The 21,546-nt window shown below is 35.2% G+C and overlaps 1 long non-coding RNA gene across 1 annotated transcript in view; it reads right to left on the bottom strand.

The window, feature by feature from the left end:
• LOC101929485 (uncharacterized) overlaps nt 1-21,546 on the bottom strand; it is a 254,397-nt gene that overhangs the window by 103,124 nt on the left and 129,727 nt on the right. The window contains exon 5 of the long non-coding RNA XR_007095992.1: nt 19,479-19,575. This is a non-coding gene — a long non-coding RNA (uncharacterized LOC101929485). The remainder of the gene's footprint in view (nt 1-19,478; nt 19,576-21,546) is intronic.

The raw sequence follows: 21,546 nt of genomic DNA on the forward strand, positions 1-21,546 counted from the left end.
GGACTATAGCAATCTCCAGTAGCAAAGACTACAGGTGACCGTGGTGGTGATGGGGGCTACTAGGGTCCTCTTTCATACCTTTTTGTCTGTAGGAAAAGTCCCTTCTGGTCCCAGTGTGATCCCAACTAGGGGGATGCGGTGGCATAATCAAAGCGTTTCCTTCCCTTTTCTGTGTGGCCATACTAGGCTTCTGTGTTCTACAGGATTTCTGTTGCTTCTTTGCTCTCCTCTGGTGCTCTTCTTTGGATATTTTGGTTGAAATATAGTTGCTTATTTATTATTTTGCATCTTGTGTTGGGGAAAGAGTACTAGGAGCTTCTAGTCAACCATCTTGCTGCCATCACTGAAAACAGAAGTTCCTTAAAATGTCATAGGATTGGTTTTCTGTAGCCTATACATCCTCTCACCACCACCTCATCATTGACATGTAGCCATAGAATATATTATGTTCATTTTATGATTGTAGGATGTTGCATATGCATAGAGCACTGTTACTCCCCTTTGTACACTTAAATTATTCATTTTATCCTTCAAAATGTAATTCAAGTGTTATCTCCTTAGGAAACCTCCCTGACTACTTTAATTCAATTGGGGGCTCTTATGCTGTGCTGAAATACTCTTGGGAAAGAACCCCTGTCATACCCCTGCCTATTATAATTGTTAGATTTTAAGAAATCTAAGTAAGCCATGGGAGTGTGATCTTTCCCTCAGAAATGAGACTCTGGCTTGTTTACCTCCCTATCCTCAGTACTCAGAAGAATTTTTGGCAATTAGTTTGGCACTAAAAACCTTCTGTTAAATAAATGAGTGGATGAGTAAGTGACTGAAGGGTTGAAGGATGGATATATTGATGGGTGAATAATATACTAGTTTGGGAGGAGAGTTAGAACTTATTTTTTTAAAAGAAAAAATATGAGGATATTATTCTTGAAAACATATTGATAGTTTCTTATACTCATTTTGACAAATAGGAAGTAACATATCTGGGTGATAAAAATATACTGTGAGGGAGACTCAACCTAACAACAATGACCTGAGACTAAATCATTAGCTTGGGAGCTCTGGGAGATGAATATTTAATACACTCAATTGCTTAGTCACTCTTTTTTCATTGCCATTTGTCATTGACATTCTTATAACTGGTAGACATTATATATGCAAGGAAAAAGAGAGACACTGTGGCATACTCAACGTAAAAAGTATATCTTGAATTCACGTTACTGTTTCAGTAAAGGCATTGTCAGATATTAGGTATTCTGGGTCAAGGCTGCTCCCCGAAACTATGAAGTCTCTGCTTTTCTTGCACACAATGCCAGTTTGACGTGGACCATAATGGAAATCTGTAGCACTGAAAGTTATTCAGGGCATTTCCCTTGAGAGTCCTATCTGTTATGTGCTGGGCCTGTATGACATTACACTAGGGCATTCCAGAGAACAGAAATATTACAGCTGGCCTATAGCCTGGAAGATGACTTCTTCATAATAATATTTCAAGGGAAACTTATTTTGCCAGAGATACAAAGACACGTATGGCCAAGGGTTTTCTAAGTGACTGCTACTCTTAGAGCTTTGGTACCTAGCGGTCTTTAGGCTGGAATTATCTTTATGAAACTGCTCGAGTATATATTTTAGGATATCATAGACAAAACATATGGTACGAAATATAATTAAATGCTAAACTAATAATGCCCCAAATGCATACAATCTAATAGCAATCTAAGAGACCATCTTGAGACCAGAATAACGGGGAAACATGGCAAGTCAACAAGTGTGGTAGGAAAGATAGATAAAAGGGAAGCATATTTCTAGAAAGATCCAGTTCAGAATAATTTAATCACAGGGCATAGGATTATATAGTATTGGCAGCCATCAGAAGCAGATTTTCAGTGATCATAATGTCATGATTCTATTGATGATCTGTTCCCAAAGACTTGAGGACAGAGTGCCATTTAATGGTACATCACAGAATGTGCTGTCTTGGATGTCTGTTCCATGGGGAAGTCAGTTTGAGTTCAGGATCCAGATAAGAAGAGAGACTCACTGACAAAAATGCTTGAATGCATTTTTGTTGTTCCCTCTCCCATTTCACAAGAAACCTTGAACTTAAAAGCCTCAGGTCAGAGTGAATTTTATGATACTTCCCCAGATTTATAAAAAAAAAATTGAGAATTAATACTTTAAAAAAATTTCAAATTTTATTAGAAGTTTATTAGCTGGCTTGTTACGTGGGTAAACTGTGTGACACTGAGGCTTGGGATTCCAAAGATCCCATCACCCAGGCCAGAAGCATAGGACCCAACAGGTGATCATTCAGCCCATGTCCCCTTCCTTTCCTTCCCCATTTAGTGATCCCTGGCCTCTATTGTTTTCATCTTTACAATCACGTGTATTCAAAGTTTAGTTCCCACTTATAAGTGAGAACATGCAAGATTTCATCAGACAAAGGTCTAATATCCAGAATCTATAAGGAATTTAAACAAATCAACAAGCAAAAAACAAACAGTCCAGTTAGAAAACAGGCAAAGAACATAAACAGAAACTTTTCAAAAGAAGACATAGAAGTGGCCAACAAACATATGAAAAAATGCTCAACATCACTACTCATCAGAGAAATGCAAGTCAAAACTATTATGGGATACCACCTCACACCAATTAGAATGGCTATTATTAAAAAGTAAAACAACAATAGATGTTGACAAGGCTGCAGATAAAAGGGAACGCTTATACACTGTTGGTGGGAATGCAAACTAGCTCAGCCACTGTAGAAAGCAGTTTAGAGATTTTTCAAAGAACTTAAAATAGGACTACCATTCAACCCAGAAATCTCACTGGCGTATATACCCAAAGGAAAATAATGCGTTCTGTCATAAAGACACATACATGCCTATGTTCCCAACAGCACTATTCACAACAGTAGACATGAAATCAACCTAAGTGGCTACCAACAGTGGACTGAATAAAGAAAATGTGGTACATATACACCATGAAATACCAAGCAGCCATAAAAAAGAATAAGATCATGCCCTTTGCAGCAACCTGGATGGAGCTGTAAGCCATCATATTAAGCAACCAAACACAAGAAGAGAGAAGTAACTCTTAAAAAGAAAAATAGAAGATCCAGAAGCAAGAAGGAATTAGACCTAGACATCTTAACACAGGACAAGAACAATATAAAACATACAGAAATAAATCTAAACTGGGCTATATCCCTTAGTTCTACCAAGTCACCATCAGTTTTTTGGAGGAAAAGCTCTGGGAAAAGATGTGGAAACTCATAGTTTTGCATATGTACAGTGAGCTGATTATAATCCTTATTGCAACTGTGGATTTAAACATTAATATCAACAAACTCCTTTGCCAACTTCACCGAATAGTCTTGCACTGAGAAAAATAACTAAAAAAGTCAGTCTTGATATTACGTGTGTGTGTGTGTGTGTGTGTGTGTGTGTTGTTTGAAAAGGACTGTACATATCTAATAACTAACTGGAATTAAGATTTTGTTGTCCAATGTGAACAAAATGAGCCAAGAAGCATTGTGGTGAGGGATAAATTAGTGAAAATACATAGTATGTACAGTGCCTGGTTCATAATAAGAGCTATTCCTGATCCAGTGATTATTCCACAATTTTGTCTTGAATCTTCTTTATGTTGATGTGATTTATAAAACATGGAAACAATGAAATTCCTTCATAACTTAATTTATAAAAATATATTTATATATCGGTTTGACAAAATTATTTCATATATATTAGCTCAAGAAATAATAGCCATTTAGAAGTACAGCTGTCATTCTGTCACTCAGAAAATGTGTCTACTGAACTGCTTCTGTGTGTGCAGTATCATGTTACTTTGAATAGAAAGAGATCACCTATCTGGTTTTACCTCCCAAAGCATATATAGTAAAGAAGATGATTATTACCTCTCATTTCACAGAAGAAAAACCTGGTGCCCAGGGAGATCATATCACTAAATTTCACATCATCATCATCATCAAGTATAAAATTCCCCTGGAAAGAAGTATGAGGATTTTAATGAGAGAGAGAAAAAAAAAAGGTACCCCACTGAGCAAGGAAAGGAAGAAGGAAGAGAGTAAAGAGAGTACAAGGAAGGGAATAGTGATGCTTTGGGAGAAACATTAGGAAGGACTGGAAACTGAAACCACATCATCCTCTTATGGCTCCTGTCCCAGTGTTTCTGGTGCTGCCTTCCTTTTTCTCATTAAAAGCATAAAGTATACTCTTTTCTTTCTAACTCTTTCATATTCTGAAAAACTGTAAGTTTCAAGGAAAATAAAAATTATATAAAAGGAAAGAATAAATCAATCCACAGGGAAGAAGTGATTGCCCTGGGACCTTTGGCAAAAATCCTTTTTTTTTTTTACCACTGGGATAGATTTTCTTCAAGTCCTGAAAGCCATTCTATGAGGAATGATCTCAATGACATTTTAAAAAGGACAATATTATTCCAATGCTAGCTGTGGATTCATTACTGTGCTTTTGATCCATAATGTTTGAAGCATCAATTATCCCTTTTGTGAGAAAAAGAGTGAATTTATGACCCATGGCAGCAAAGACAATAGTTTCCCTTTCACAGCCATCTGCACAAATTTATTTCTCTTACTTGATTATTTAATTTTACTCCTTAATCAGCTGTTCAAACACTTGAATTCTCTCAAGACCCTCGTTCTCTTTCTCACCCCCATCTTCCCTGCCCCCAGGGCCAATCAATAATCACTACAGTATGTGTCTTTCCTTTGTAAAAATATTAATGCTAAAAATCTCCATGTGAGTACTTCTGATTATTGTGCTCTGCAGGCGGCCTTTCCTGTTTCTTTTCCTCTCCCAAAATATCCCCTAAGCAACTTATGCTAATTAACTATAGCTGAAAAGATAAAAGTTCAAATTGTGTTTTACAATAAGAATTTCAATACTGTCCAAAGCAAAAAAAAAGAAAAGAAAAACGGGGGAGGGGTGGGGTTGTTATAAAGTTTTTTCAGAATTTAATCTTTTCAAATAAACATTATGCTCCTAATGTTAGGTAAGTCATTTAATAATTTGGGGACTTGTTATAATACTAATGTGATTAATACTTACGACCCTGTTTATGTAGTTTTTTTGGGTTATTTTTTCTAAATTAGATGAACAAAATGAGCTCCAAAGTGGATTGACTGTACACACACGAGGGTGTCTACAAATAATGCATTGGGATGTAGGAAGAAAATTGTAGAGCTCATTTTTCTACTCACTCTTTTATTTAAAAAATACATTTTAAACTTACTCTTCATACACAAACTGACACTCATTACTTGGTTTATTCATTACAAATGATATATGCAAAATTCTGAGGCAAACATGGAAGTGAGTAACTGTTAACCATGAAAGTGGTTAATTTTATAAAAGGAAGATTTTTAAGCAGTAAAACCTTTACAAAAGTTTTTAATACAATCTAGTGTGATCATAAAAAATATTGTGTAGCTCAGCCAGGCACGGTGGCTCACGCCTGTAATCCCAGCACTTTGGGAGGCCGAGGCGGGCAGATCACGAGGTCAGGAGATCGAGACCATCCCGGCTAATACGGTGAAACTGTTACCTGGGGTCCTTGCTCCCAAAGCTCCAAAGATGGTGGTGGGCCACCTCCAAGATGGCGGTGGGCCACCTCCAAGATGGTGGCAAGCTTCCTGTTCTCTGACCTGGGGTTCTTGGCCTCACGGATTCCAAGGAATGGAATCTTGGGCCACGCAGTGAGTGTTATAGCTCTATTAGAAGTCGTGGGTCATGTAAGAGAACCGTGGAACCCAGTGACTAGTGTTCAGCTCGATTAGGATGAACCCAGGCACTTAGCTGTGCAGGAACAATGGCAAGCCTTTAGCCAGGTCAGGAGCGGCAATGGGGGCCTTGCTGGATCAGGAGCACAGCGGACACCCTGCTGGATCCGGAAGAATGGAAGTCAGCGGCGGGTCTGCGACAGTGGCAAAACAGCAGTGGTGGATATCGAGCGAAAGCTCAGCTCCAGCCGTAACAAACACGGATCAGAAGAGTGCAGTTGCAAGATTTAGTAGAATGAAATAGAGTGAAAACAGAGCTCCCATACAAAGGTAGGGGACCCAAAGGGGGTTGCCATTGCCGGCTGGAATGCCTGGGTTTATATCCTGATCCTTGTCCCTCCCCCTGTCCTCTCAGGCAATAGATGATTGGCTATTTCTTTACCTCCTGTTTTTGCCTAATTAGCATTTTGGTGAGCTCTCTGATTGGTTGGGTGTGAGCTAAGTTGCAAGCCCAGTGTTTAAAGGTGGATGCGGTCACCTTCCCAGCTAGGCTTAGGGATTCTTAGTCCGCCTAGGAAATTCAGCTAGTCCTGTCTCTCAAAACCTTGCCTCTACTAAAAATACAAAAATTAGCCGGACGTGGTGGCGGGTGCCTGTAGTCCCAGCTACTCGGGACGCTGAGGCGGGAGAATGGCATGAACCCGGGAGGCAGAACTTGCAGTGAGGTGAGATCGCACCACTGCACTCCAGACTGGGCGACACAGTGAGACTCTGTCTCTAAATAAATAAATAAATAAATAAATAAATAAATAAATAAATAATTGTGCAGCTCATGAACTTTCATAAGGTACCTAATAGGAAAAACCATAGAACGGCTGTTGAACTTGGATACTTTTTTTTCCCAAAGATATGGATTTCCATTTTTCTGACCTTAATTGCAGCAAGTGGCTATGGGTAGGAATCCATGAAAAAATGCATGTAATTTGTCCTTTGAAGGTAAAGGAGATATTACTGCATTGCAAAATTTTAAACCTAAGTTTTCAAAATTATAGAAAAATGTTCCACTACTAATGGTATATCATATAAACAATGATATATATATATATTTAATTATATCATGTAAACAATGACCTCTTTGGTTATTTTAATAAACAAAATAAAAATATAATTTTTGAAATAGCATTTATTCGGTTTTTATCACTTATTTTTAAGATTAATATTTTGTGTATATTTCTACTAAACATAAAAATAACTATTAAATGGATAGATAGCATAGGGAGCAATTATTTTGATTGATAAAGCTATATAGTGATTAAAATATGGCAAAAAATCTAAATGGAAGAATTACAAAGTAATGAAGAAACTACAAAATTCATCAAATCTAAATATCCCCCCTTTTCATATATGTAAACCAAGGCACTGGAAGTTATTTCACTAGCCCAACTCCGCAACGCTTTTTAAGTGCAGGCTGGCCTGAACTCAAGTGTCTGGACTATGTTTGAAAACACCACCCGTGAGGCTGTATAATCTGGCTATTTTTTTCTTCCTAGCGTTATCACTTAATATTTTACACATTCTGAACTGTTTGCGTTACCAGATATGCTCCATGAACTTTCTTCCCCGTTTGCATCTGTTTTTTTTTTTTTTTAAATCTCATTTGCTCTTCTCCAGAATCCTTGCTATTCTTCCTAGTTTATCCTTCAGAGACTCAGGCACAGACATCACTTCTTTGAGAACATAAAAGGATACATATGACAAAATAAAAATAAACTTTCACAATATTGTCTAAACTCTCATTGCATAAACAGGAAAGCCCAAATAAGTAATGCAACCCAGGTCGCCCAGTGCCCCAGTATCATAATCCAGTGACTTTTTTTACTTCCCCTAAATAATATCCAACTGTGATAACATTGGCAACAAATAAAATATGACTATTTTATATCCGATTACTCATTATAAATGCTTTAGCTTAATTTGTACCTAAAATTAATCACAGAAGAGAAAATAGATTAGTTTTCCAATTAGCTCTTAAAGTACTAATAATCAGATCTATTTGCATGGCTTATTAAATGTTCCTTACAGCATCTTTAAAAAGCGATTTATAACTTTTCTATTAGTATACAGGAGCAAAGATATTGAAAATATTTATTCAGTAATTCAGGGCAAACCTGAATAAGGACAAGAGGTGTTTTTCATAAGTCAATTTGTGCTCAATTTACCTGTCACAGAGTTGGTTTTCTTCTGTTGAGCTGATCTGAAACATTTTTACTGATTAGGGTTTTGCAACAGAGGATTTCAAAATGCAAATGTATCTACAGCAAGATGTGCCAAGGTAAGAAAACTTCTAGTTTGGGGTTCTAGGTAGACAGGTGTGTTCCCAACTCTACCTTCTCCCGTTTCCTCTTTAATTATTCGTCAGTTGGAGTTAGATCCTCCAAAGCTTATAACTAGTACTTTGAATAAAACATGGCCTTTGTGAAAGTTCTAATTTAGTGTTTCATTTTGTTAGGCAAATGTAATTTAAAATGATCATTTAAAAAATAATAATAGTTGAATAGCAGGCATAAGATTTTAGCCACACAGAACAGTTATGCTTAGGTGTGACCCTTTTTCTGGGGAATTGAACTCAACTTATTTTAGAAACCTCCATCTGGTTCAATATCTAAAATTTAATCATGTCTAATTTTTTAGGTAGTCCTTTAGCTCTTAGGTTAGACACTTAAATAACTATTCAGTCAATTATGTATTTTTCTCAATAGTCTTCTCTTTTTTTTTTTTTCCTCTGAAATGATTTAAATTCATGAGTGGGGGAGAGTATAGCTTATTTATTGCCCTCGCATCAATGGAAACTTCTTTTTTACCATTGTTTTTTTAACAGCACTGGCTTCCACCAAGACTAACTCAGTCTATTTGGTCTTCATCATCGTATGCTAGCATCTTCTGGTAATATCAATGACATTCCCATGACCTCTGGTATCCAACTCTGTGTCTTATTGTGCAGCACTATCTCTTTGTTCTGCTCAGTAATTCTCGGGGAATACTGCACTCACTAACTGAACCTAGGGAACTTTCATAGACACTCTCACATAGCAATGGGATACAAGGGCTCTCTGAATCTGCCTTTGGGCCCATTCTCTTTGGCTCCACACTTATCCATTGTTAACACAGTCAGGGTTTAGTCTGGATATAGGATTACTCTAAGACAGTCTAATTTCTCCATGCTATAAGCTGGGGAGGTACAAGGCTCTCTGTCTCAGGCCTGAGTGAACCTACTCTCACATCTACCTTTTGCAATTCTGTCCTAGATGCTTTCCTTTTATTATGCCTTTTGTTATGCCTTTATCGTGGTAGGAAAATGAGCTCTTACCTAATTCACACATTCTATTTCTGATATGGTTCAGGTATAATCTCTCTGCTCTGACATCTCTAACCTTTTAATATTATAGAGCCCAAAATCCCTTTGTCTACAAAATTCTGATATTTTCCACAGAGATACTCCCCTATGTCAAGCATCTGTATATTTAAACAATATATCCAGATATTCACTTGCCTTGTCTCAGTCTATGTCAGCCTTTTCCCAGAAATAATGAATGCCACTGATTCACTGACCAAATAGCCTCAGTATGATGGGAAAATTTTTATTTCTTAAAAAAAAACAAAACAAAACTCAGTTATCTCAAAGTATTATTATGTTGTTAGATCTTATATTAATTTGCAAATTTGAAATTCTTTTGGCAAGTAAAATGCATATTTTATGCATGGAGACAGAATCTACCCAAATATCTCAATTATAGCTAGAAATAATGATAATAACCCTAAATTGCAAACACTTTTTAGCACTTGCATTCACACAAATAAGATAGAACATTTATAACGCTACCATTGTGGGATCTGGATAGACTATTTATAAACTAATTTAATTAGTGGGCAAAGTTCTTAACATTTCAGGGATATATTCTGAACTGCAACATATCCTTATCCGGGTAACAATAAGCTTGACAATATATGTGAGAATTCTACTCCTAAGACTTTTAGGAAATACAGATCAAATCCTATGAATAACAAATTCTATTACATCCAAACACTGTAACATGAAACTTTCAAAAGTGTAATTATTTCAAGGGATATTAAATACAACTGAATTCTAGTGCAGTAAAAGAATCCAATAAGTCCTCCAGTACGGTGATTGGATTTGAAATGAAACAGGGCACTTTAACAGTGTAGTTTCATTTCATGCTCCTGTATTTTGTCCAGATATTAAGATTTAAACATGGAATCAGCATGACCAATGCTTTATGTAGGTTGCTTTTAATTTTTAAGGAGTATACAATGTCATTAAATGGATCTTTCCTTTGTGGTATACCATAAAAATTGATTAGTCATCCCACACATCTTTCAACAACAAAAAATAATAATCTGATCTGATTATATTTTCCCATGGATTGACAACCTTGTTATAGATACCAAAATTTCCTTCACAGACTCTTTGATGTATCTCTTAAGAGTATTGTGTGGCCATCAGTTATGGTGTCTGTCTTGGTGAAATTCAATCGGAACTGTGAAGGAGCTAGTTTTCTCAGCATTATTAAGGGACCCATTAACTAACCTGCAACTGCGGTCAATGCTGGCATTCATATTTTTTAAAGAATCTTTTTTGAAATTTTATTACCACAGTTTTACTTTAAATATTTAGCAGAATCAAGATGAGCTCTGTAATTCATCTACCTTCCTAAAGTAAATAAAAATGTGAAAATAACATTGGGATATAATCCTACTGTTTAAATTTGTTTCTTTTTCTTTAATCTCACAGTAATGACTCCCTTCCTTACAAATTCTATTGCATCTACCACTCATTCTAAAACTGTCTTTTTGTTCTTGTGAACTGTTTTATCCTCATTTTGAGAGAGAAGTTCAATTATTTATAAGAACACTCAGTGAATTATTTTCAGTATGTTGGAAGTGGGAGTGTCATCTTTTGTTCTTTTCCATCTGTAACACATATGCCATCACTTGTTCATGCCTGAAATGTGTTTTCTGAAGTATGACTTTATTAAAGTGTATGTTAAGCCTTAAAATAGTCTGCTACTAAATAAAACTGCCAACTGTGATTTTTTTATTTTATATATATATTTTTTATTATACTTTAAGTTCTAGGGTACATGTGCACAACATGCAGGTTTGTTACATATGTATACATGTGCCATGTTGGTGTGCTGCACCCATTAACTCGTTATTTACATTAGGTATATCTCCTAATGCTATCCCTCCCCCCTAACCCCACCCCACAACAGTCCCCGGAGTGTGATGTTCCCCTTCCTGTGTCCATGTGTTCTCATTGTTCAATTCCCACCAATGAGTGAGAACATGGGGTGTTTGGTTTTTTGTCCTTGCGATAGTTTGCTGAGAATGTGGATGAAGCTGGAAACCAGCTGTGATTTTAATAAGTTTAACTTTTTGAGAATTTATTTATTTCAATTAAACCAAGAAAATTCAAATTAAAATATTAATTGTGTTTCTGAAGTAAATTAATTACATTAATCACTGGAGGAAAGACATAAAGATGAGTAACATTCAGTTTTTGCCCTTTGAGAGCTTACACTCATCCCAACGGGAAGGACAAACAGTTGAAAAAAACCAAACTCCCGAACTTTTTTCAAGTCAAATGAGATAGGTAATTTGACAGATCTATTAACAAAGACATTTAGTAGAACAAAGGGGAATCAGGAAACTTTTTACAAATGGGCTATCCTTTGGTATGGACTTTGAAAGTAAGTGTGGTGGAGTTTGCTAGCCGCTTACCTAAATCTGTCCTCATTTTCTTCCTGGGCACATATCTAGACTACATTTCCAACTTCCCTTGCAATTAGATTTGTTCATATAACTGAGTTATATTAATTGGATGGCAACAAGGGTAGGAAGTGTTATTTTCTGGCCTGGACTATTAGAATATCTTCTTAATGTGGTTTTCCCTACTGCCTAATTGGAATAAAGAGCCCCATAGGGTGACTTGAAAGCTAGAAAATTATAGACCCTTCAATGTCCTGAATGCCTGCGTGAAAGAGGGCCAGTCAGTCAATGGATTGCCTACTGAATCCTGTTACATAAGCAAGCAATCAATTTGGGTTTGAATATGATACATTTGGACATCTATATGTGACAGCAGCTAGCTTACCATAATTGATACAGATTGGTAACATTCTAGTAAGTGTTATTAGACATGAAGTTAAATGACATTATTCTGGTAGAGGAAATAACATGCCTAAAAGAATAAAACTAGAAAAACATGACTCTTATTCATGATGGTCTAGCAGTCCAATTGGGCTGAAGTATAAGTTGTAAATAGGAAAAAAGTAAAAAGATTGAAAGTGAAGGATTAGGTTGATTGAAAAGAACACTTGGCTATACCAATGCATATATGTTTTTTCCATTCAAATTCCCATTTTTCTGTTGCAGTCATAAATTTATCTTTCCATTTGCCCCTTTGTCCCTGGAATGCTTATAACCAAAGCAGATGTCTCAGTTCTAGCTTTGACTGGTTTTGACTGTTTTCCTTTGTATTGCTGTATCCTGTCTTTCTTTTTCTAGTCTACATATAATGCTGAGTCCGACAAACCATAATCTAGAGAAATACTTGTACATAATGTTTGCATGAATATCTAAAAGGCTCCTGGGGTAGAATAGGAAAGTGATTACAGGTATAGAATCAGAATCTATTTTTGTTTTCTTCTTTTATTTTCCCATTCTCACTTAGAGGTAAGGGTTAAGTTTGAGCTGTATGCATTTTTTTTTCTACTACCCAGTGGGATTTTTAAAAGTCTTTTTCTCATTTATATGGAGGATCGTATACATTTCAGTAGTATTTGCATGGAATGTTTCTACATGATGGCAATTATAAATTATTCCTTTCTGTTTTTCTTCAGCAGAATATAAATATCAACAGCAAAAACACTACTTAAAATTAATATTAGCTCACTTAACCCAAATTACAATCTTACAAGGTAGATACTATTGTTTGCCTCATTTTATTGGTAAACTGACACTTTGAGGGAAAGTTAACTTGCTCTAGGTTTCCGAGCTGATAAACAGTAGAGTCATAATTTGAACTCAAGCAGACTACAGAGCCCCAGCTCAGCTCATAAACACAACCCTATGATAGAAACCAGCTACATACACAACAATTGTCTCAGTGCATTTGTGCTGCTAGAACAAAATATCATACACTGGGTAATGCATAAACAATAGAAGTGTATTTCTTACAGGTCTGGAAGCTGCGAAGTTCAAGATCAAGGTGACTGTATTTCGATGTCTGGTGAGAGCCTTCTTCCTGTATTCTCACATGGTGGAAAAACAGAAGGGCAAAAAGGGGCCAAACTATTTCCCTCTAGCCCTTTTACAAGGCAGGAATCCATTCATGAGGGCAGAGCCCTCATGACCTAATTGCCTCTCGAAGAATACTCCCCTTAACACTGATGCATTGGGAATTAAGTTTCAACATGAATTTTGGAGGGGACATAAACATTCAAACGACAGCAGCAATCAATTTTCTCCACATTTTCCAGTCCTCTAGAAGGTTTTAGCACTAGTGACTACTTCTGGGAAAAATCTAGAAAGTCATAAGATGTCATACATTTTCTTTCATTCCTTGCTCTATTAACTGACTGAATGAAGAGGATGCAGTGGCAACACAAGGTGCAAGGAACCATGATCCCTGAAGTATATGGAAAGCCATCTGCCAAATGCCTGATTAGTCCATAAGGAGAGCAAGAAATAAACCTTTATTGTGTTAAGCACTGATAATTCTGAGTTATTTATTACAGCAGCTAACATTAATTGCTTGGATAATTGCACTGTTTATATCTAATGAGAACAATTTAAAATTTGAGGACTAATCTTCAGCATGTTTTGTTTAGCTTTCTGATTTTTCTTGTCCTGTGTCATTTTACCAGTTATTTCCTTGTTCATATCTTCAGTTAGCATGTTTTTATTCCCAAGAATATCCTCTAGGAAAAAAATCTTTTGGTTCTACATCATATGTGCTTTGATCAATTTTCCATTAACTACTATCTCATTTGAATTACCCACATAAAGCTTCCTTACTCCAAACACCTGTCTGTGAACCACTGAGTTAGAATCTACTTCCAATATCTGATTCTTTAAATTCTACACATGTAATTCTGGTTTGATCTTAAAATCCTATAATAACTTCTAGAAATTACAAACTATAACTACCACAAAAATTTTAGTTTTTAATTATATTTCTACCTTTTCTTCTACTTATCTTCCTTTTAGTAGCTTTTAATGATACATTACATGGAAATAGTGGTGAAACTAGAACTGCTTGTCAGAACTAGTTTCTACAAACTAGAACCTCAGAGAGTAAATGAATCTCACATGCATTCTTTTATAAACACACAGAAATGCAAGCAATTTGTTCATTGAACTCTTCATTTGCAGGAGTAATTAAAAAACACACATACAAAAAAAAGACCAAATAAAAAAAAATGGCAGGTGCTCTAGGCCACATGCTCTAATCTCCATTTGCCCTAACTTTCCCCATAAGAATATAGTAATTCATGCAAAGCTGAATTAGAATCTTCTTAATGCATACATACATTGTAAGTATTAAGTATTTAAAAATGCAATACTGCTAGTCTTCTAATTTCAATTACACAAGGTACAAGGCAATTTAACCTTTCAGAGATAATCCTATCTACTTTGAATAATAGGAAATTTGGAGTTACAAAACACATAAGCTAAAAATCAGAGATGTAACTGTAATGCAAATAACATAATAATTATTATAATAGAGGAATGCACAGTGATGTGATAGCCCCAAAGAAGGAGCATTGGAGAATAATCTAGTGGGTTGCATAGCAATTTTCCATGCAGAATGAGAAGAAAATATGTCTAGGTTTGAAGTATAAAGAGTGTTGTTAGGAAAATAGAAAAAAGGCTGATGATAATCAAAGTTTACGGCCCATGTGAAGTATCAGAAAATTAGGCTACAAACTACGTAGAGGGATAAATTTGTGAAGGCTTGTAGTAGCAGGTGCTACCAGTTCCCTACCCAGATCTCCTTCCCCTTACTGGCATCCCCCAGCAAATGTTAGTGTTGGCCTCCAACAACTAATTGCTACACTCTTCTCAGAAGAACTGTCCCCTGGTCTAAAAGACTCACCTTTCTCATTGATGCTTTGGAGGTTACTCCTAGGGGCTGGCCCATTGTCAGTGACTGATGTGGGGTAGAAAGGAATGCATGGCCCCTTGGTCTTGTGTGAATGATTCTGTAGTGATATTCATGTTCTAGTGGTCTGTGTTTTTCAGGATTTGATCAGACAACTGATCATTTTTAGTTGTCTGGAATAAGTAATTTTGCATTAGACCTAAGAAATTGTGAAAGATCATGAAGTAGTCTAAGGAAGACAGTTGCCTCTGCATCTGGTGGTAGATTGAAGTTGTTAAAACTCACCAGAGTGGCTGTTAGTAAGAAGTTAGACATAAAGAACAAACTGGAGCTCACTAAGGCAGGCTGGAACCAAGGAACACAAACTGCAACCTGTGTCTGTCTCCCTCTGACTCCAATCATGATAATGTAACTGATCTGTCGATGAAGCTGGAGACCAACACCAGGAAGGTCTCTGCACATTCATCTGATCCAGAACTTAGGGAACTGAAGGAAGAAATCAAATGAGAGCATGGAACCAGCTGCTGTCTCCACTAGGCCTGTGAGCCACAAGATCAGCAATAACGGGAGCTATCTGCAACAGCATCTTGCGCCCTTCACTGACCTGCAGGGTAGAATGGCTGTTACTTACCTCTGCCTTCTAAATTTTATGCAGATATCACTTGTAGCCAATGATAAACCGAGAGATATAAAGGGGAGAGGATTCTGGAAAATGTAGTTTCAACTTAACTATGTTGATACAGTACAGAATGACGACAAGCTCCCCATAGTATCAGCTGAACACATAACTTTACTTAGACGTTACACAGACTTCAACTCAGCACACATCCTACTTTGATTCTTCTTCCACCTATTTTGCTTCCCAGATATCCACAATTCATGTGAAAGCATCACATTAGCAAATCCCTTACACGAGAATTCTGTCTTGGTCTCTGCTTCTAGATAACCCAACCTAAAGTGCCCCTCATCATGATAATGAATTGTGACTCTATTTCATAGGCAACAGGGAGATATTGATACCTATTTTTGTTCATTGGTGATAAACTTATTAGATAGGTGACACAGGATAATCAACGAACCAAGATGCCAAGGGTTTTAAAATGCGCTAATAAAATACTGCTAATTAAAATATAAAGCAATGCTTTCTGATTACTAACAATTATTAAATTTGCTAAAAGAGCTATTTATTTTTTAAATTAAGTAAACAGATTTTTATTATAAATTGGTATCACATTTATCAGTATCACGTTTGTGGATACATTAAAAAGGATTTTTTTTAATTTTTATTTTTAGAGACAGGATGTCACTCTGTTGCCCAGGCTGGAGTGCAGTGGCATAATCGTAGCTCACTATAGCCTCAAACTCCTGGGCTCAAGTGATCTTCCTGCCCCAGGCTCCACAGTAGCTGGGACAGGTGTACCATCACGCCTGGCTAAATTTTTAAAACTTTTTTGTAGAGATGGGGGTCTCGCTATGTTGCCTAGAATGGTCTCAAATTCCTGGCTTCAAGCAATTCTCCTGCCTCAGCCTCCCAAAGCACTGGGATTATAGGTATGATCACAACATTGGCCAAACAAAAAATATTATAATAAAAATAAATGGATTAAGTTATTTTCAAAACTTCCTCCTAATAAGTATCTAAATATTGAGTTATTTCTCAACTTAGAATGGTCAATGTCTATAATTTTATACACCAAATCTTCCTCTATGCCATCAAGAATATTGATAATACATTTCTTAAAGAATTGATGAAAGAACTAAAAGTCATTAGTGCTCAAGAGCTAAGTTTGCAGTCATGTAAAACTAGTTTACTTTTGACTTCCTTTTTAGGAATGTTGTTCCACAATTTTTCCTGAGATTTTTTTTTTAATGTCACCAACACCCATGCAAGTTATGATACTGAGACACTTGACTTTCAGATAGACACTAATAAATAAACTCATTATGACTGCCACCCGGCTGATGGTGATTGTAAAAAGTATTCTGATTTCAAATAACCTAAAGTATGAAAAATTGTTTACTTAGAACCAATCAATACACTGTGGTACCTGAAGATGAGTTGAAGGTGGATAGACAATAATTAGGATAACTGGCTAAGTGGCATTTGTGTTAATCCCAGCAAAAAATGTTAATCACCATTACCAGAACATAAACAGTGGCGATGAGAAGGGATTTGAATTACATTTAGGAGACAAAACTAGTGGGATATTTAGTAAAAAATATTTCTCTGTGAAGATGCTATTCACAAATTTATATTAAGTGTCCCAGAAATGATTTTGCATCAAATTCAAATGGATATACAAATGTGTATGTATATAAAGGCTGATACTCATTATCATAAAATTTGAAGTACTTTTAATAATTTTAGAGTTCTTGATGAATTTGTATATTTATACAGATTCCATTGACTCTGCTGCCCATATTAGGGTATCATTCTGACTACAAAAAGAGTAACTCCCATTCAACTGATTTCCATCTATTAATTACACAGTGATGTCGGACCTTAGTTTCTGGCCATGCTCCTATTCACAAATAACTTAGAGTTTCATTTTAAACAATATGCTCATGAGATATGATAATACTTTGCAATTCAGTACAAAATTGTTTTCCTATTCAGTTACTGGTTTAGATTTATTCTCTTCCACCTCATGATTAAACAGACAAATTGTACCATAAATATCCCTATTATTTTTTCTTGCTATGCCTTTCAGTGGGCTAAAGAAAACATCTTATTTGCATTAGCAATATCTCCAGATGCATGTATATGTCTGATATCAACAATGAAGCACATCCTTGGCATTAGTTATTTTAATATTTTTACCATAATTAAATTGTAACTTCAGAATTCCAAAGACAGTAATTGTTGTGGAATATACCTCAAGCAGATCATTTGACTAAGGCCTAATTTTATTGGCAGTATTCATTCCTAAAACTTTTTTTAAGTTACTTATAACTTGCTTATTTTACACACTGCTTCACCATACATTTTAATGTAAAATATTATTCTTTGGAGAAATTGCATGATCAAAATTTTAAGCACAACATTTATTGCTGGTTAATATATTGAAACAGAATGAAAACTTAGATCTCTGCTTATCCTCTCACATCACTTATGCTTACAACCTCTAGGTGAGGCCAGTAGATAGTCACAATATCAAATTAAATTTAAGCAGAATAAAACCTCATCTTTGGAATTTGTCAGTTCTTACAATTAACTTTTTCACTTGGTTTCAAAAATAAACTGTATATGTAACATCTGTAAAGAATCAATTTTCACCTGTGTGCACATGTATCTGTAATGCATATACTTATGTAAATGTTTTAAACTATCATAGAAACTTCAAACATACCTAAAAGAAGAGCAAATAATGTAATAAAATTTTGTATTTTCATCTTTCAGCTTCAGCAATTATCAACATTTAGTCATTTATATTTTAATACAATAACAGTTTCTACTGCAGCTATTAACCACAACTACCATTTGAAGACTAGTATTATGTGCCAATGTTTCACGTGAAGTTCTTAGTTTTCTGCAGTAGAAATAAGCTGGCTAATTTAAGTAGAAAATAACTTTATTTAATAGAAATAAATAATCTAGAAAAGGATCATAACATTCTTGAGGATAAGATATTCAGGAGCACCACTGAAAATCATGATAAAGCTTTCTTAAGTGCCACAGGAAATTAGGTGTAGCTTTTGCCTCTGCTACAACATTCACCAAATACAACTGACATAGACATTTAATTTATAACCACTAGTTCCAGTGATGTAATTAACAGCATCTAATACACGTCTATCCATAACTGCGACAGAGATTAGAAAAACAGGTAGCTGGCTTCTATGGTGAGAGGTGGTCTAAGAATCACAGAGTAGGATATTTCTCAAATATAGAAAAGGGGAACAGATGCTGGAAATTCAACATTGAACAATAACCACTTCAATCAGGCATCAGGCACTGGGCTAATTTCAATAAAAATGCATGTAAAATGTTTAGCCCAGTATTTAGCCTATAAGTTAGTCTCTCTCATTGTTCTCACTTCAGAGATAAAGTAATTTCAGTTAATTAACTTGCCCAGTGTTATGCAACCATTAAAAAAATGGAACACGGATACCAACAAAAATCTGGCTAATCCAAAGTCTGTGTGCTAAACACTGCACTATTTTTTAATTGAGAGTATTTACAAAAGCCATTTATTTCAATCAAATTATAATGTTACAATAAGACAGTGAAGGTCAATAGCTTGTCCAAAGGCATAACACCAGCAACTTCAGACAACCTTTACAGCAGATCAGACTATCTGATAGGATTTTGATGTACGATGATGCTTTTATAATAGTGCTTACTGTCTATTGATTGTGGTGATTGTGGTAAAGCTGGCATCCCTAAATTCAGAGTCTATCTTCACTATTAAATTAAATATCTAAAATACTCAGCATATCAGAACTGTAAATGACACAGATATAATGTCTAAACAAACAATCAAAACTCAGAACTCTATACAAAGAGATAGAAATGTTAATGGAACTTACCCAGAGATTGACAGTAGGCAAAACACCCATCACTTCCCAAGGAAGAACACCTTGATTTGTTGCTGCATTTGTTTGAAATCAATCTGAGACATTCAGGCTGAAAGGAACAACAATTCAATAAAGAATCAACACAATTAAATGAAGTTATATTTCACTTGAAATTATGCCAAGGGCCTTTCACATTCCAGTGCTCGCATACTGTAGACATATATTGGCAAAACATATATATGAAAGCATAGGAGAATGGAGACTTACATAAAAATTGGGATACAAATAGCAAATTATCTGAAAATATATTTTATGCCTAATAAATTTCTATTTCCAAAAATACATATAAAAGATGTACTTATTCTAGGTTCTTGAAGGACCATGAAATGAAAGAAAGCTAAGAAGATTTTAAATATATTTTTCTATTTACTTACAAACTTGTTAATGTCATATTGTTATATATTTACATGTTTTGTACCTATGCAATTACTTCCCTAGGAGGAAAATATTCCTAGAAATGGAATTTTGAGGTATAGAGGAATGCATTTAAGCCTTTTGGAAAATTGTTCCATCATGCCGTGTAGAATTATATAAAACTACAATGTAATAGTTGTATATAAAAATGTCCATTATTTAACACTTTACTTCATTGGTGTTTTTTAAAATAATAATTAAAAATACGCTTTAAATAAATAGTTATTTGATTCATATTGAGGAAAAATATTTATATCTAATGGTATTTATTTTACAATTTTGAATTGCCTGTTCATGTTGTTTCCTATTGTATTGGAGTACTTGTCTATTTTAAATTGCTGTTTAAGATCATTTTGTGGATCATGAAATATAATAATACATTGCAACATATTCTCCCCTCTTTACATGTTACTCGTTTATTTATTTATGTACTTACTTTCTTATTTATTTTGGTGTAAACATGTTTTAAACATGTGTTCAATTCTCGTATTTTCTCATAAAAGATTCTGTTATTGATACCACAATTAGAAATGTTTTCCCTGACTTGTATGTTATATAAATATTCACTCATAATTTCTTCATACATTATTTTGTGTGTTCATTTCACCACAGACTACTTTAATTTTTCTGAAATTCATTTTTGAGTTGTATATTCATTTTGCATATTGTATATATTACATTTTTCCAATGTTTGGCCATTTGTATGTCCATCCTAATTTGAAATGAAAGTAACGAGTTTTAGTATATCTATTCATATATACTTGCCTTTTTTTCCTTATTTCTTATTGTGTTTTAATGATCTCCTTTTGTTTTCACATATCAAGATATTATTCCGTCATTGTAACTTTATGCAATTGAGTAAAGTAAATAATTGTTATGTATTTTAATTTCTTGTATTTTCTATATTTGTTGGCATTATAAATAGGAATTTTATTTATATTGAAGATTCAGGGTTTTTTGATTTACCATTGTTTACATATGCATAATAAAATTGTCATAATGAAATTGTCATTTTCTTTCAAAAAGTTTGTAATATTTTTATCTTGTTCAGGTAGATAATCTTATTATATAAAAATATTGATTATAGGCTGGGCGCGGAGGCTCACGCCTATAATCCCAGCACTTTGGGAGGCCAAGGCGGGCGGATCATGAGGTCAGGAGATCAAGACCATCCTGGCTAACACGGTGAAACCCCGTCTCTACTAAAAATACAAAAAATTAGCCGGGCGTGGTGGCGGGCGCCTGCAGTCCAGCTACTCAGGAGGCTGAGGCAGGAGAATGGCGTGAACCCGGGAGGCGGAGCTTGCAGTGAGCCGAGATCGTGCCACTGCACTCCAGCGTGGGCGACAGAGCGAGACTCCGTCTCAAAAAAAAAAAATAAAAAAAATAATAATACATATATATATATATATTATAAATTGACTCACTTTTTTAACCTCATTGGTTCACACTTCCAGAATTATGTAAGATCAAGGCAGTGATAATGGCTACACTTGTCTTATTTTTGTTTCAAATGTAATGCTTCTAGTCTAGTGTATTGTAATTAAATGGTCTGAAGGCTTTCAATATTTCTACAATGAAAATAAAACATGTTTACATTTCAGTT

The sequence above is a fragment of the Homo sapiens genome, chromosome 3 (assembly GCF_000001405.40).
Source record: "Homo sapiens chromosome 3, GRCh38.p14 Primary Assembly".
In the NCBI taxonomy this organism is placed as follows: Eukaryota; Metazoa; Chordata; class Mammalia; order Primates; family Hominidae; genus Homo; species Homo sapiens.